This window comes from Homo sapiens, chromosome 10 (genome assembly GCF_000001405.40).
Source record: "Homo sapiens chromosome 10, GRCh38.p14 Primary Assembly".
NCBI lineage: Eukaryota > Metazoa > Chordata > Mammalia > Primates > Hominidae > Homo > Homo sapiens.
Window position 1 is genome coordinate 124,990,679 of NC_000010.11, and position 16,511 is coordinate 125,007,189.

At 57.1% G+C, this 16,511-nt stretch overlaps 1 protein-coding gene and 1 long non-coding RNA gene across 31 annotated transcripts in view, besides 4 other annotated features; one reads left to right on the forward strand and one right to left on the reverse strand.

Moving 5' to 3' along the window:
• Nucleotides 1-16,511, reverse strand: part of CTBP2 (C-terminal binding protein 2) — a 178,147-nt gene that overhangs the window by 6,362 nt on the left and 155,274 nt on the right. For 28 of the 30 annotated variants that reach the window (XM_047424671.1, NM_001083914.3, XM_047424679.1 and 25 more), the window contains 7 exons: nt 12,660-12,814; nt 12,282-12,426; nt 7,286-7,492; nt 3,791-4,005; nt 3,177-3,307; nt 2,524-2,651; nt 2,017-2,134 (listed from right to left, as the gene is read on the reverse strand). In XM_047424671.1, coding sequence (XP_047280627.1) covers nt 2,017-2,134; nt 2,524-2,651; nt 3,177-3,307; nt 3,791-4,005; nt 7,286-7,492; nt 12,282-12,426; nt 12,660-12,814 — 1,099 coding nt within the window. Of the gene's footprint in view, nt 1-2,016; nt 2,135-2,523; nt 2,652-3,176; nt 3,308-3,790; nt 4,006-7,285; nt 7,493-12,281; nt 12,427-12,659; nt 12,815-12,961; nt 13,038-14,868; nt 15,341-16,511 lie in introns of those variants that run through there. The other 2 variants (NM_001363508.2, XM_047424680.1) reach the window with 2 other exon arrangements.
• Nucleotides 7,430-7,599: an enhancer, noted in NCBI's record as "experimental_10909 CRE fragment used in MPRA reporter constructs". NCBI's record gives its function as "activates a minimal promoter by MPRAs in K562 erythroleukemia cells, with activity observed for both the introgressed and non-introgressed 10:126686762 variant alleles {active_cell/tissue: K562}" and the evidence as "EXISTENCE:reporter gene assay evidence [ECO:0000049][PMID:34662402]".
• On the forward strand, nt 9,174-10,816 carry LOC124902520 (uncharacterized). The gene is made up of 2 exons (XR_007062329.1): nt 9,174-9,773; nt 9,980-10,816. It is a non-coding gene; the product is annotated as an uncharacterized LOC124902520 (long non-coding RNA).
• Nucleotides 9,663-10,163: an enhancer, noted in NCBI's record as "H3K4me1 hESC enhancer chr10:126688910-126689410 (GRCh37/hg19 assembly coordinates)". NCBI's record gives its function as "activates a minimal SCP1, AML or CMV promoter by ChIP-STARR-seq in primed H9 embryonic stem cells {active_cell/tissue: H9 hESC(primed)}" and the evidence as "EXISTENCE:reporter gene assay evidence [ECO:0000049][PMID:30033119]".
• Nucleotides 11,958-12,499: an enhancer, noted in NCBI's record as "H3K4me1 hESC enhancer chr10:126691205-126691746 (GRCh37/hg19 assembly coordinates)". NCBI's record gives its function as "activates a minimal SCP1, AML or CMV promoter by ChIP-STARR-seq in naive H9 embryonic stem cells {active_cell/tissue: H9 hESC(naive)}" and the evidence as "EXISTENCE:reporter gene assay evidence [ECO:0000049][PMID:30033119]".
• Nucleotides 12,500-13,040: an enhancer, noted in NCBI's record as "H3K4me1 hESC enhancer chr10:126691747-126692287 (GRCh37/hg19 assembly coordinates)". NCBI's record gives its function as "activates a minimal SCP1, AML or CMV promoter by ChIP-STARR-seq in naive H9 embryonic stem cells {active_cell/tissue: H9 hESC(naive)}" and the evidence as "EXISTENCE:reporter gene assay evidence [ECO:0000049][PMID:30033119]".

Sequence of the window (16,511 nt, forward strand, 5' to 3'; positions counted from 1 at the left end):
TTCAAATCCCACACCTTAAAGGTGATGACCTTAAGAGGTAGAGCCCTTGGGAAGTGACTGGGTGAGGAAATGACTGGGTCATGAATGGGATCAGTGCCTTTACACAAGGGAGTCTAGTCAGTGCTCTGGCCCTCTCTCTGCCATATGAGGATGTGGGAAGAAGCTGACGGTCTGCTGCCTGGCCGTCACCAGAACCTGACCATGCTGGCAGCCTCATCTCAGACTTCCAGCCTCCAGAACTGCGAGCAAGGCATTTCTTTACAAGCCACCCAGTCTATGCTACTCAATTATGGCAGCCAGAACTCACTAAGCTTTCTAGGCTGGTTGGCTATATACTCCCATGGCCTGAGATGGGAAGTGGTATGCTTGCTGGCTGTTGGCTGGGGGCCCGCCTTCCTCGGAACGCCCAGGCTCGGGCTGGTTTTATATTGCAAGCACGAAGTGCTGTGTGAGGACACACTGCATTCGCCAACCACAGAACACAGGGTCCTCGGGCAAAGTGGGACTCAGTGTATTCACACAGACTTATCATCCATCCAGGTAGAGGAGGAGGCATCTCACTATGGTAGCCACCCCACCCCCAGCTCCTGGCCTGCCATCCTGTCACCAAGACCTTCAGAAGGACTCTGGTCATTAGGGTCCCTTCCTCAGTGCACACATACTGTTCTAGGGGGCCTAAGAGCCCCAGCTTACGTGAAGGATAAATAACAATGGAGACATGGAAGAGGTGGGCCCCCAGCTCCACCCAACAGGGGAATCTGGTGCTGTGATAGGCTCAAAATACTTTTGAGGGCCAAAAGGACGGGGCTGGATGAAATGTGAAGACAGCCATGTGACCTGCAAGCACCGGCATAGCTTCTTCAAGAGTGTCAGAGCCTTCATTACACAAACTGAATGCACCCTGGTCGTCACTGTGGCTACAGCAGGGGACATGTGGCTGGAGACATTCTCAATCATCATGAGTGGGAGTGGGAGGTGCTACTGGCATCCCGTGGGTAGAGGCCAGGGATGCCGCTGAACGTCCTACAATGCACAGGACAGGCCAGGCCTCCTACGAGAGAATGAAGAGAATGATCTGGCCCCAAATATACTTATTGCCAAGAGCTAGAAACCCTGGTTTAGAATATGCAAAAATTTTTCTTAAGATTCAAGGCTGCAACTTCATTCATTTATGCATGAGGGGGCTACTGATTTTCCTGGGAAGCCAGCAATAATGGGGGGGGGGGTGTGGGAGAAAACCGATTCGTGCATGGAAAATACCACAAAAGGAACCCCTTCTCCCTGTGAGGGCTCCTGTCTTTCCCCCACTCTGCGTTCCCAAACATGGCTCCAGTTTCTCAGCTGACCCAAACTACAGGTATCATTTTTAGTGTGTGGACAAGGTCATCATCCTGAGTTGATTGTACTATCCTGAGTTGACTGTACCAGAATGCCTTCTGTGGACATAAGATTCAAATTGGAAAATGAACTTGCTCACAGGCCTTTGCACTTGAACATCTTATCTACGTATACCTTTCTCTTTGAGAAGCCCTTTTTTTTTTTTTTTTTTTGGTGGTGGGGTGGGGTCGGGGGGTAGCAGCATTGTCTCACTCTGTGGCCTAGGCTGGAGTGCAGTGGGTGATCTCGGCTCACTGCAATCTCCACCTCCCAGCTTCAAGCACCTCTCCCACCTCAGCCTCCCTAGCAGCTGAGACTGCAGGTGTGCGCCACCACACGTGACTGGGAAGCCTTCTGGTTTTAAGATGGCTTTAGAATGAAAGGCAGTTCCTAGCACCTGTGGTCAATCACATCTGACCGAACACACCCCCTTTTAAAATAGGAGCTTCTGTTTGTTCCATGAAATTAGGCATTGGAAGAAATGGGGGCGGTGTACACAGTTCCTGCTGAGAAGGCTGATTGTTCTGACCCTGACTTAGCATCTGCGGGAGGTTAAGCTTCCGCCAAGTTTGGGCTTCTCTCCCTGGCCCCGGGGCCGTGGTGCTCACAAGCTGAGACAAAGTCAGTTCCTTTTCTCACCTGTATGTGGCACCATTGAGCTCAGGATGAATTGCTTGCTGGTCTATTACTGACCAAGGCGCTGATGTGACAAAGAATTCCTTGTTCACACAATTTCTTAAGCTTTCTGGGATGCGACCTAGGGTAAGATGATTAAAATTAATCATATTATTTTTACAAATCACAGTAAGTTCAACATTACACCTGTAGCTGCTTATGTGGGGAAATAAGCATTTGTAAAAATGTAGAACATCCAAAGGCCCAAGTGCTTGAGCTCTTCAACACTGACCTTCAGCCTCTGTGTGCCCCCCGACCCCCGAGTTTATAATGTCTGGGACTAAAGGGAATGGTTCCCTCTGTGAAGTTTAGTTCAGGGCTTACGTAAATAAACAGGGCCCAACTCATATAAATTTGATGCTAAAAGTGAATTCTACCTGTCGAGAGCTGCCTGTAGCCAGCAGGACAGGAGCCGGCTGCACTGTGGAGCTGAGGCTGCCCTTGGCAGGCCAGAGGCACGGAGGGGCTCACCTGTGATGGCTCGGCGGATCTCGGTGGCAGCTGCCTCCCTCATCTCCAGTGACGCCTGCTCACTGTACCAGGCAGTGTGAGGAGTGCAGATGAGATTCGGGGCATCTTTCAACGGACCCTGAGCAAAGCTAGAAAAATGTAGAAAAAACAGAGTAAGCGGGAAATGTCGCATACGCTCCCTGCCCTCCTCAGCACAAGGGAGCTCTTGGCCATGTAGAAAAGTAGCTACATAGATAGCATGGATACAGGAACATCTGTGATGATATTTTATGAAGGCTGGGAATTTTTGAATGTAATTATCAAAGTTGTGTAAGAACCGTATAATTGGTAGATCAAAAAGCCCAATTCTATTGAAGGCTTGTCCTGCTGTAATCCAGGGCAGAGATGATGCCTGTCTGTCTGAAGACCAGAACCACTGCCACACCCCCACCAATTTTCTGCCTCTCCTTTCCCTGATGACCTCTGGGAAACTTCCAGCCCTTTTACAATTAGAATACAGCACAATCCTTAGAAGAACAGAGACTGTAAATGTCATCTCTGGAGTTTCCTGCCCAGGGACCTGTTTGGGAAAAGGGCCTCGAGTTCAAAGTGTGGGGGTCAGGTGTGGAGCTGGGCCCTGTGGGCTCCTGGTAGGCGGCTGGGGCAACACGCACCTGAAGGGCTCTGACTCATGCACGTCGAGGGCTGCCCCTCGTATCCTGCCCTCCTTGAGGGCTTGTGCTAAGGCTTTCTCGTCCACCAGGCCGCCACGGGCTGCGTTCACAAGGAATGCTCCCTGCCTCATCTGTGGAAGGAAAGAAAAGCCGGTTACAGGCACACTGGCATGGTGGAAGACTCTTGTACCAAGGTTTAAAGAAGAAAGCTGCAAGCTAGTTTTGTTGGTCTGGTGGTTTAATGTGTGTGCTGCAGTTTGAGGGAAGGGAGTGGGAAGTGTTGGTGACGGCTGGAAGCCAGGGCCGTTGCTGCTGATCCTGAGAGGAAGCAACACGGTGGAAAGGCTGGACTGTGCCGAGCTGCTGGCCTCTTTAAAGGTTCTGGGAAGCTTCTGAAGCTGGGTCCTGGCTAGCGCCTGTCCTTCTCTGCTTAGCCTGGCTCAGCCCGAGGAAGGGGCTTCACGTGGCTTGTCACTGGTTTGTTGCAGGGCCTCTTCCCTGCTCAACAGTGTATCCAGAAACCACCTCCGTTGCCCTCCGTGTCCCTCTTGTGCCCACAAGCAAGTGCTACCACCTTTCGACAGAAGCTTCCATGGCATCTATTTTCAAATTACCTGCTTTATGGTAAAGTCATTGATGAGGTGGTGGTTATGTTCGTTGAGATTGCAGTGCAAGGAGACGCAGTCGCTCTGATACAGCAAATCCTGCAGGGTGTAGACCCTCTGCACGCCCAGGGACCGCTCGATCCCATCCTGCAAGTAGGGGTCATAAAATATGACGCTGAATCCAAAGGCCTTGGCTCGAACTGCAACCGCCTGCCCCGTGCGACCTGTACAGAAACAGAGCGTCCAGGTGAGTGAGTCCACAGCCCGCGCCCCAGCGCTGCCACCTCCATTGCTTCTGAGCTGAGTCCGGGCTTGGCATCCCCGCTGGTAGCTGCTGCCAGAGAAACCGTGTGCCCAAAGCTTAGTGAGGCCTGAGGCGAGCACTGCCCGCGAGGGGCCACCATGGCCGGTGTAGGACAGGTGAGGACCGCAGTGCTTGCTGCTTATATTGGGTACAGCAGGATTTTTGTTAAAAACAAAACAAAACCCTTCCTTGTTATTGACATTTTCAAACACAGAGTGTTCTGACAAGCCCACATGCCCCTCCCATCACCACCCGTGTCCTCCGTTCCCACCCCTCTCCCCACTTCTTGTGTGCACTGCAGGCTTCTTAACATGAGCTTTGTGTTTGAAAAACTTGCTCTCAATGTCACAGGGAGTAATGTCCTGCCTCCTCATTGCTGGGCTCGCTCCTGCAAAGGGTGACATGAGCACAATGGCTCCCTGCAGGCTGGCCCGAGTGCAGACTGGCCACATGCTACTGTGTTCTGGGCGGGAGGCAGGGCACATGACCATCAGACCTGGACCTGTCCCACTGGTGGGGCCTCGCGCCCATCTGCATTATGCAGCCTGGGCCTCCCGCCAGCTATGTCACAGGATGAGGAGGTGTCTCCCACTCCCCAACGGCTGTCATTTCATAAACCCATGGGGTCCCCCTCGATAGCACCTCCAGCTTCCCAGAGCAGTTTTCAGCATTTTGAAAACAAAATGGTTAGTGTTGATGCTCGACTGGTTCTCTTGGAGATCACAGAAGGAATCTTTAAAGCCATGGCTCCAAGGTGCAGGCAGGAGAAGGACAAAGATGCGCATTTCCGAGCAGGCAGCCTGTGTTCCAGGGGTACCTCAATGCTGGATGGCTCCTCCTGCAGCAGCTCCATCTAACCGATGGCCTGGCTAGGACAACTGCCGTAGTTTAGAACAAAGGTTGAATAAGGCCAGTCTGATCAGGGACAGCTGCAGGACAACTAGTATAGCAAGGCACGAACCATCACGCCTCTCCTCCTCAGTGTCACCCTTTACAGCAGGCAGGACTGGACGGTGGCAGGGACGGAGTGAGAGATGGCTCTCTGACGCACTGGCAACATGAAACTGAGGACCCCAGCATGCAACTGCTGGGAGCTCACACTTCACAGGACCCCCGCCTGCCTTCCCCCGTTCCTGCAGCCTCCATCCCCCTCATGGCGTCTGTGCACGAACATGCTTCAATCAGTGGGGCTCACACTCTGCAGATCCAGGGCCTGGAGGGCCTGTGGAAAAGCAGCCCAGAGCACCAAGCCCAGATTTGAACCGTGCCGACGGCTATTTCTTTGTTTTTTTTTTTTTTTTTTTTAAAGTTCACAAACCCCTTGAACTTTATCCATGAGATTTTCTGATGACCCAATGACTTAATCCTGCTACTGACTTAATCAAAACCCAGTCCCTACAGAAGAGACCTGCTCCCCCGTCACAGCGCCCCCCCCGGCCCCCCATGCCGCTTATTTTAAAAGCGCAGCTCCCACAGGCTGCCTTTCCTTCAGTTTCTGTCCATGCCCCCAGCCCCAGGCTGCCCTCTCTTGGCGGCACCGTCCCACCCCGCCTGCTGCACTGAGCCCGCTGGGCCTGGGGGACTCTTGCTCAGTAGAACCCGAGGCCAGCAAAAGCTCTTAGCCCAGGATGGCTGCAGCAGCGACAGTCCTGAAGGCTACAGAGACACCTGGAAAGGGAACAAGGAGAGCACGACAGTCCCTGTGCTGAGGATCCAGGGTGGTGGCGGCAGGGGTTAGTGTACAGTCTCGAGAAAACAGGGCGGCGGCAGGGGGCTGCACTGACCTCTATACACCGAGAGGGTTTTTAAAGTTGAATGACAAGGGCACAGCTACAGGAACGACCCCAGGAAGAAGTCCCGTGACGGCTGGAGTCAGAAGCCCCTGAAACAAGCACCTCCCCAGTGAGGCCCCACCGTGTACCCAGGGTGCTCATGACCACCCCCAGGCTCTGCAGCCTGGCCAGAGACCACCGAGGCCCCAGGAGGGGCTTCAGAGATGGAGATGAAGCTGCATCTCCGAGCCATGAGGCCCAGTGGGGCCCGGACAGAGGGAGCCTGGTGTTCACACACCACATCTGTTTTCCAACAAAGTCAAAACACGGTGGGTCCTTTCAGAAGATCCCCAGCACCCGACACTTCAACTCAGACTCCAGGCGTCGGGCGAGGCCAGACCCAGGAGATCACAGCCTGTAGCGGGGACAGAAAGGTGTGCACTCCTGGAAGCGTCCAGCAACTTCTCTCTTGTTCAAGTGGCACCCCAGGTCCAGAGCGGGGCTTGTGGGGAGAGGAGCACGGGGGCTTCGTCCTCGGAGGCGCGGAGCTCCAAGCAAGGGCTGAGCAGCAGCTGGGAGTCTCCCGGAGGCCAGAACATTACTGGCCCCGTGTGCACATGCGCCTTCTTGGAGTCCCAAAAGGCAGATACCACGTATCCCACCAAATATCTACTTACAGATTGGGAAATTGAGGCAAAAAGCTCAGGTAATTCCCACAAGGCCACAGAGCTGGTAAGCGGTGGGGTTGAGATTCAGTGGCAATGGGCCGAGGTCTCCTGGGTGTGGTGTGGACCCTGATGGTGAGCAGGGTGGGGACCTCCTCGAGCCCCCATGGAATCAGGCTGCTTACCATCACCTTCTCCGTGGCACCGGCCCCTACCACCCTGCTGAAGACCCTCCTGGGCCTCTCCTCACGTCTCCTTTTCCTGCCCCTCTCTCAGGAGAGCTTTCCAAGCTGATGGCCTGACTGTGCCACCCCAACCTGGCATTTGAAGGCCTTCAGGAGTGAGGCCATGTCCATAACCCGCGTCTCCACTGAACCCTACGCCAGCCCCTACACGAGCCCCAAGCCTGGCTGCTGCTTTACGACACACCTCCATACAGCCCCTGCCCTTCACCCCTGCCCAGGGAAATTTACTGGGCACAGCGCCTTGCCCGCTGCCCCACAGCAAAGAATGCTGTCCTGCCAGACACTACAGACAGCAGTGGACACGCATTCTTCCAGAACCAGCCCAGATCCTGCCTCTAGGGTGAGTTGCCTGATGGGTCTTGACTCCGATCTCCTACCCCGTGCAACACGGGGAGGGTGCTGGCCCTGCCTGCCCTGGCTCCTCAAGAGCAGGCTGGGGTTGCCTTTCCCGAGGGGTCCCCACTACACCAGCCCCAGTGTCGGAGGGGTTGGGGGTCAGCGCAGAGGGTGGCACGTACCAAAGCCAATGAGGCCCAGCGTCTCCCCACGGATGCGGGCCGCTCCCGAGGCCACCTCGCGGATCTGCTCCACGCTCTGAACCCGCGTGCCTTCCCGCAGTGCCTGGTACAGCCACGTGTTCCTCCGGTACAGGTTGAGGATGTGGCAGATGGTAGAGTCCGCTGTCTCTTCCACGGCTGCAGACGGGATGTTGCACACGGCAATTCCTGAAAGGGATGAGGCCAAGGCCGGAGATGAGAAAACCTCAAGATCAGTGGGGAAGCCCCAGGGCTCCCAGCCCGCCCTCCTGAGACTCGGTTGTTGGCACCGGGGGAGGCCCACCTTATCGTCTAGCAGACGCGGGGCTGGGCACGTGGGCGGTAGGCCCTCTGGCTCTGATGCATGGGAAGCTCTAGCCCCAACATCTACCCCTCCCTCCCAAGGAGGACTTTTGCTCCAGGACGTGGCTCATGACCAACCCAACTCCTATGGCTGATTTTGGGCCTGACTGGCTTCCTCCTGGGCTTGCACTGAGTCCCAAGAAAGGACCCGGAGTGGCAGGAAGCCAGTGGGCCTCAGACCAGACTCCTCCAAGTGGACCCCACTCAGCCTCAAACCCCTCAGGGTCTCCCTCATGGAGCTGGCAGGGTGACAAAGAATGGCTTTTGGTTTTAAGCTATGCTAACAGTTTGATGCAAAAAACATACGTTTTAAACATACTGGTTTTAAAAAAACACCTCCACCCCCACACGGATGCAAGGGCTGGCCCCGGGAACGGAACCGATGGCCGAAGCGTGTGCACAATCGCCCTGTGGTCATGTGCTCAGCACCCTGCTCTGCTGGGAAGAACTCAGAGCAGACAGGATGCCCTCCCTGCCCCGTGGAGCAGCCTTCAGGTCAGGGCCGAGGGTGGCTTGGGGTGAGCCCTCTGGCCCCACACGAGCTGCAGAGACCAGGGTCAAGTATCTCCCAGCACAAAGCAGCTGTGGCATGGAGAGTTAACCCAAGTCATAGGCAGAAAGGGCCCTGCCATTTACCCTCCTCAGCCAGAGGGTGTCTGGGGAAGAATGAATGACTGCCAGATACAACAGGGGTGCAAGTAGGCAGAGGGCCAGGCTGGGAACGGCCCCTCCCTACACCCGACAGGTGGAGATCCAGAGGCCTGCTTGCAGCAGAGACCAGAGGGGCCGAGCCAGGGGCGGGGCCCCAGAGGGTGGGCTCAGCAGCCAGCCTGTGGCTCCCAGTTGAGCTCTCTGAGGAGGGGTGTGGCTATCTGGGCATCACGTCAGCCCAAGTGAAATGGTTCCCTCCTAATCCCAGCTTTGGGACCCTTAGGAGAGTGTCTCTCCCAGCAAGGGGTGCCCAAGGCACTGGGACAGGGCCACCTTTAAGGCAGCCCAGGATTCCTCTATCTTAAGTCCTGAAGATTGGGGTGGGGACAGATTGGGGTGGGGACGGCAATCACCAAGGCAGCTTCTTCGGCTCTACTGGACAGGAAACAAGACCAGTGGGTGCCACAAACCCACTTTCTAGATGGCTGCGTGGCTGTCTCCCCACAAGGGCCACCCCTAGGTCTAGGGCCTTGAGAGTGACCCGCTTAGCAAGACACACAGCTCAGAGAAGGTGAAGCCACTGTGAGCAGGTCACCCACCCACCCAACGTGGCCACTGAGGGCTCCTCTGGGCCACCGACCCCTGCCAAGGGACCAGTGTGGTTGACGGTGACTGAGGCCGACCAACTTTCCCACGAGCTGGATGCCAGGAATCTTGCAGGAAACTGGCCTCATTCATTTGAAATAGCTCAGCAGAGAAGCTGGGGCTTGATCACATGCCATGTTATTATTAAGTCAGACAGACTGAGGCTGATGCCAGAGGTTCAAGAAAATCTTTGGCGGCTGGGACAATTTTCATTCCTCGGGCAGGCTAAAGCCCAGCAGGGAGGCCCCGCAGCAGAATCACCCTCAAGGACGCTGGCTCCGTGCTGCTGCCGGGGCTGGCTCGGCAGTGCTGCCTGGCGTCAACAGCAGCACCTCCTCCTAGGAGATGAGCTGATGCTGGCTGGGAGACCCCACAAGGCCACGTGTGTAAAGGCACCCGGGTGGGTGGGTGGCACAAAAAGGCAGGTTGAGGCAGGACATCTGGTCAGTCTTCTCACCGAACTTGGACATTCAGCTCCGTGGTTCCACTGCTCACCGGAGTGCAGAGTCCCAGGACGGGGAGATGGTGCAGGAGGAAGAGCTGCAGCCACTGCCTGGGATGGCAGAACCTTCCCACCCAGACCGCGGCGGCGCCACTGCCAGGAACCTCCATAACCCTCACCGCTCTCTCGGAGGGAGCATCTTCTTAGCTGTCCTCTATCGCTCTGTGGATGCAGCCTCCCTTCTGGATGAGTCAAGCTGATCCTTCAAGTGCCACACGATGGGTGGCTCTGATACTCGCAGGCTGGGCCTCCCAGCATCCACGGAGCCTGGAAAACGGCCCCAAAGAGGCAAGCTGCTTTTCTCTCACGGTCAGTGCCATCGTGCTTTAATCCCTTCATGACTGCCGCTGGCAAGGAAACCACATAAACCAGCTTGCTAGAGGCGGCGGGGGTGGGGAGGGGTGTAGGGCCCTCTCGAGGTCTTCCCGGCTCGTGGGGAGAAGTGCAGGTGAGCAGCTTCCTCAAGCCTTGCCCTGCTCTTGCCGTGAAGCGCTGACTCTCGCCTGTCATTCCAGGGCTGACAGCTCAGAGCCTTGCGATCCCAGAAGGTGTCACCAGAGGCCTAGTGTGCTGCCTCGTGCAACATGGAGGGCCTTGTTTTCTGGGCCTGCGAGGGACCCTCTTTCATCAGGAGAGGGCCTGCCTGCAGCCACCTGCCGCTCCCAGCCCTCAGCACAAAAGGCCCGTTGACCGCATGATGTGGGGAATATGCATTCGGAGACAAAGGACGTCTGGACAGAGGCTCATTTTCCGCCTCCAGAGTCTACATTCGAAAAGTGCCCTTTAAAAGGGCCCCGCAGATGTCTTCCAAGCGCCCTTATCAGATGGGACCAGGATCAATGAAAATCCACCACTCACAGCCCTTCTACATTTTCCAAAACCGCAGTCCCTGGTCCTGGTCGTCTTCTGTGGGTCTCAGAACTCAGGGAACACAACCTCCCATCTCGGCCCTCCCAGGCCCCCTGTCATTGAGGCCTTGGTGCCTTTCTGGCCCCACTGCCTGTGCGGGGCACTTCTAGAAATGGAGAAATAGGAAGTTCCACAGGCAAGGACCTCCCCTCTCTCCCTGGAAAGCAGCGTCTGGTCCAGCCGAGGAAGGGCAGGGTCAGCACCCGTATGGGCCTGGGAGCTGTGTGGTGAGGGGCCGACGTGCTGGAGAAGCAAGAGGTGCGGGGGACAAGGATTTGAGAGCCCCTGGCACATGAAGCTGTATTCTCCTCTGCTGTTGAAACTTGGGATTTCAGCTCTACCCAGAGCACAAAGGACATTTGTTTTCAAACAAAAATATCCTTGTTTGTGCCAGGGAAAGATGGAAAATTTTAGTTTATATTAAACACGCCTTTGAAGACTCACATCTTCTGGAGTGTCTTTGTTCCAACAGAGGGGCTCGGAAGGACGCCGTGGCTGGTAGCAAGTGAGGGGTGTGGGGAGGGTGAGGGGTGGATGTGTGAAGCTGCTGCTTCCAGGACCCTAAGGGGTGTGGAATCTGAGTGACTCTCTCTCCTTCCCTGGCCTTTTGCTTTGGGATTTGCCCGTGGGGCAGCCCCACCCCACTGCGTCCTGACCCCTGTGAGTGTACGGGCAGCTCCCTGCTCGCCCGGCTCCCCAGCCCTGCTCCTGACACCAAGACCCACCCAGTGCTTCCGGTACCTGGGTGCTGCCCCGACTGGCCGTGAAGGATTCAACTAAGATTCTGACCCATACACTCCATGCCCCAGGCTAAGGCTGTGGAGAGACAGCTGGAGCCCATGGGGGTGGCCTCCCTGAAAACGTGGCCGGTGGTGCCCGAGAGCAGGATTCTCAGATGTATGTAACACTCCGCTCACACACAGAGCCCATCTGACACCCAGCCCGTCCCGGAAGCACCGGGGCCCACTGGGGCCTTAGCCGATGGGAGAGAGGTGGGGAAATAGCGCCTGGGCTATTCCTGGAGCACAGGAAGAGCTGTTCCAAGGCCAGGCTGCTGCCTTGGAATTCATGGTGCCTCATGAATTTGGGGCACCTCAGCACTCGTAAGGCAGAGTACAGCCCCCACCCCCAAAATGCAGGGGTGGCGTGTTCCAAACACAGAGCAAGCACAGTGCCCACCTGGCCCTCTCCCGAGGACGCTCGATGCCAGCGGTCTGCTTCTTGTGCCTCTGCACTCAGCACTCACGAGCTCACACGGGGTGCTGGGCAGAGGCCCCCCTCAACATGCACCCCCAGCCGCAAGTGCATGGGGCCGATAAGCAGCTTTGAAGCCCCCAACTCTGGGTTCCCGCCTGCTGCCTCTGCTTTTCTTCGGAAGCCTCTGTCATCAACTGTGTTGGGCAGGGGCCCACCTGCTTTGGTGCTGACCTGGACCACATGCTGCTAAGGCTGCCCTCCCAGAACGGGAGGCCCAGGTTCCCATGTGGACAGGGGCCTAGAGCTGTGCACACGGCAGGGGCAGTTTAGGGGACACACACGGCAGGGGTCATTTAGGGGACGCACCCAGCAGGGGTGGTTTAGAGGACATGTGGCCAGTCGCATTCTCCCCTCTGGAGGCGGCACTGGGTGTCTCCAAATTGAGCCTGTGCCAGCTGGGTGTTGCTCTGAGGGCAGAGATGCCTCACAGCCCCGCAGACCCCACACAAGGGCCAGCAGGGACTATCCTACCTGTGTCATGTGAAGGCAGGGCCGCAAGGTGCTCCACAGCCCGGCCTGGAGGCAGCCACCTTGCTACAGCCAGAAGCGGCTGCTCCGTGGTCCCAGTTCCAGCTGCTTCTCCAAGCCCACCCGAGCAGGGCCCACAGAGCTCCGGACAACTCCAGGCAGCCAGCGCTGCCTCGCACTCACCGAGCTCGCCGGCAGCCTTGATGTCCACGTTGTCATAGCCACTGCCTATCCGCACGATCACTCTCAGGGCCTTGAACTTCTCCAGGTCCTCCCTGGTGAGGGTGATGGTGTGGTACATCATGGCGCCCACGGCTTCGTTTAGAACCTGCGTGGGAACAGAGCACAGGGTCGGAGCCCCACCCCGTGCAGCCCACCGGCACCACTTGGCCTGGCCCCCTGGCCCTATCACCCTTGAACCTGAGGCAGAGGAGTTCAGCAGGAAAGCAGGGAACAGGGGTTCTGGGGCCTGCCGGTGACTTGGGGCGATCTAATGGGGGGATGCTGGGGAGGAAACTGCCCAAGGTCAGTGCAGGCCCCGGCCGGGCAGGGTGGGCCCACCTTCTCGTGGATTTCCTGCGTCGACTGCGCGTCACAGAAGGCCACAGTGGCCAGGTCCTTCAGGATGGGCATCTCCACAGTGCAGTCGCGGCCGTCCAGCAGCGCCACCAGGGGGCGGGGGTGCAGGGGGCCGTTCATGATCTGGGGGCGGATACCTGCCAGGAGGGAAGGGGTGAGCACAGTGGGTGGGTGGCTGGGGCCACAGGGTGCGTGGAGGGGCAGCTCCCCACTCATCACTCAGGGCAGGGCTTGGGCAAGCGAGGGTGGCGGAGCAGCGAGGGCACCGCCTCCACCTGCATCACCTTCCAGGGAGCCACTGACACGAAGAGGAGCCACTTCCCATCCACTTGCGGCTCTGGCTGGAGACGCACACGGCTGCTTCCCTGCCAGCAGACCATAGTCCCGAGAGCCTCAGGACCATGGGGCCCCGAGGCCAGCACAGGCTAGTCCAGCACAGGACGGGTCCCTGCACCGCGTGCCTCCCTGCCTGCACCGGCACCAGCTGCCCCTCACACACTATGACAGGGGATAAGGCGTGTGCGTCCAAAGGAACTTCCTGGACAGGCCCTGCACAAACAGGCGGCCTGGGCAGGCTCCTCCAGCCCCTCTCACCTGCGCTGGGTGAGGAGAAATGGCGGGTCTGGGGCAGGGAAGGTATGCCTGAGGGCAGGAGGCCTCTAGGGGCTCAGGAGAGCAAACTTCTCAAAGGACCACACAGCAAGCAGCTCTCTAGACAGGCCAGAGCCATCATATTAATCCTGACAGATTTCCTGGTGCTGCCAACAAGGTGAAGGGACAGCTGTGAGGACAGAGGGGCAGGGGTGACCCCAGGAAGGGCCCCAGTGGTCCTTCCCACAAGTCCAAGTACAAATTCTCTAGCAACTTCATCTGGACCAGCGCGGCTGCATCTAGACGTTCAGCAGGGTGGTGGAAGGCCTTACCTGCCACACTACAGACGCGCATGCTTGCGCCCCGTGCACATACAGGGCAGACACCCTGCGGGGCCCGCCCAGGATGCAGCGAGAGCCTCAGGGCCTCTTTTCTCTCTTTATTCTGTGCAGCAAACCCAGCAGGCTCCGAAGACCTCAGAGACAGAGAAGCAGCATTTTCTCCAACAAAAACTGCCCCCTTCAAATCCATCCTTGGATTTCGTAGGTCCTCCTGACCATCTGCCCAAACCTCACATCTTCAAGACCCACACCCTGGACACAAGAGAACAACTACCTGAGTTCCAGAGGTGCAATCCGCCGAGATGCCAGGAAGGGGCAATGTCTCTTGTCAAATTAGAACTCTTTAGCCTCAGATTAAAACTTTGGGGCTCATCAACTTTTCAGATATCCAGATCAACCCTGACGGCGGCCTTACATCCCCATCCCCTCCCTCCCTCTGAGGCTGGACGGTCCAGGCCATTGCTCCAGGCTGAGCCCAGCCTGGTGACCCACCATGGGTAACCCAACCAGGAAGGTGTGACATTCCCGGGATCACTGGCCTTTGAGCACAAGGCAGCAGGCTCAGGGTCCCACAGGCAAAAGCAGGAGCCTTCCACAAAGGCCAACTTCATCTGTGTGGCCTCGCCTTCCATCCCTAACCTCCTCAAGGGCTCTTAGTAGTCCCCAAGCTGGCCACTTGGTGGGGACGATGACTGGGACCCCAGCCACGGGGGGGCTCCTGCTGGACCACCAAGGCTCATATTCCGTTAGCCACACGCTCGGAGACGAGGAAGGAAATCCCCCTCCACTGGGGCCGTGACTGCATCCTGTTAAGACTATACACGGTGCTGGGGAGGGACGGCCCAGAGCACCTGCACCAGCCCTGCATGGAAGGCCGTGCTCGGCCAGTGGGACTTGGGATAATTGTCTCTTTGAGCACAAAGTACAAAAAAGGCTTTTGTCCCAGCCTCAGAAGAATGGGCTGGGGTAGCCAGGTCCACAGCCAGCCCCGCATGGCCCCCAAGCTAAGTGCAGTTCTCCTGCCACCCCCGGCTGGGAGAAATCATGGCCCCTCTCAGCCCTGAGCGGCAGCTGCACCTGACGCTCAGACACCAAAGGCACACGTGCACCCAGTCACTCCTGCTGCTGCCCCGACACCCAGGTCCCCAAACAGGGTGTCCGCATGGATCCGCACTCCAACATCCTTCTGCACCAGGAAAACAGGGCAGGGGAGGGGGAAAATAAGGCAGGGACGAGGGCCAACACCCCCGTGTCCTCACCAGCCCACGACCTGTATGAGTGGACAGGAAGCGTGCAGCACAAAGCTGGATACCCCCTCAGCTCATCCGCGAGATCCGCAACAGCACCGTCACCTGACGAGGAACCCGACACACATGGCTCCCACCTGGGCTCCTGTTTTCTGCTAAGAAAATGGTACAACTGCCAAATTCCACAAGATTCCTTCTGTTTCAGTACACTCTTCTGGCCCCTACTTGAGGTCTGAGCGCACAACCCTGTGGGGCCTGGAAGTCCTGGTCTCATGCCCCAGGCGGTCGCCCACACACAGTGAGGAACACCCCAACTTCACTTTCAGGGGTGCTGGCAGGATGGTTATCGGAGAGAGTGCCTGATTATAAGAAATCCAAGCTGTTCGTTAAATGGTAGCCACACAGGAAAACCACGCTGGGCGCAAGGTGGGAATCCAGAGCCGCTGATGCGTCTGGGGAGCCTGAGAGGCCATTGTCACAAGATGTCCATCCGCAGCATCATCAGTGCATGGATCCGTTACCAGGGTAACAAACTCCAGGTTGCCTAGCGATCGGCTCCCTCCCCGACACGGGTTGCCTTTCTCCTTGGTGAAACCCACCCTCTACCCTCCCTGATGGCCGGGCACGCAGAACGTGGCTGAGGCTGGCCCGAGACCTGTCCAAGGTCTGAGGCTCGAATCCTGGCAGCAGGTCCTTCATGGCAAGGCGGGAAAAGAGAAAAGCCAACGGGTTCTCATGCTGGGAAAAGATGCCGGGCACGACGGCTGGAGGTGGGGGGTTGGGAGTGGGTGGGATGCTTGCGTGCCCTGCATGAGGTGCAGGGATATGGAGGCCACAGGAGACCCCCAAGCCCTGGGCATGAGAGCTTAGCTGGGACAATGCCAAGGTTTGCTCTAGAAGGGAAAGCACCATCTTCCAAGTGCTCCTTCAGTCCCAGAAGGAAACTGTCCACCCACACACCAGAGAATCTGGACTGAAATTCAAGCCCTTGCCTAGCAGCCGCTGCCCTACAGGCTTGCTGGAGCCTGGGGCAGAGGTTTCTGGAAGAGCTCATATGGAAGATCTCATATGGAGAGATGAAGGTGCAAACAGATCCCCCATCTTACCTCACACAGGATTCCTGACGCCTCTTTCAGGCTTCTGACCATTTGAGCAAGTTTTTAACCTATTAGGATGTAACTGACACACAGAGTAAGATTCATATACATTAAGATGGAACACGACCCTTTCAGGGACGTGGGGTCCCCAGGCCCAGTGGGGCAGGATTGGGAATTTGCGAGGAGAAAGCCCAAGGCGCAGTACGTAATGAGGGCTTCCGAAGAACTGGGCTTTATGCTAAAAAGCCATGGCTTCCAGTTGCTATGCACAGCTGACGGCCTTTTCCATGCGTACAGACCACAAGGCTGACAAGAGTCCTGCAGTGCTGCTGTTCTTCCCACTTCACAGCCCGGGAGTCAGCGCTCAGGGTGGCCCCGTACCACGGTGCGCAACCACGAGGTATGAGGAGACACTTGCGGACGAGGGTCACAGGGCCCTGGTGCCCTCTATGCGCTATTTTTCCTTTCTACCGTCTCCCGCCAGTAAACCTGCCTTGTCCATTTCAGGACAATTCCAGCTGCAACTGGACACATCACGGAAATGACATCAGTGCCTTA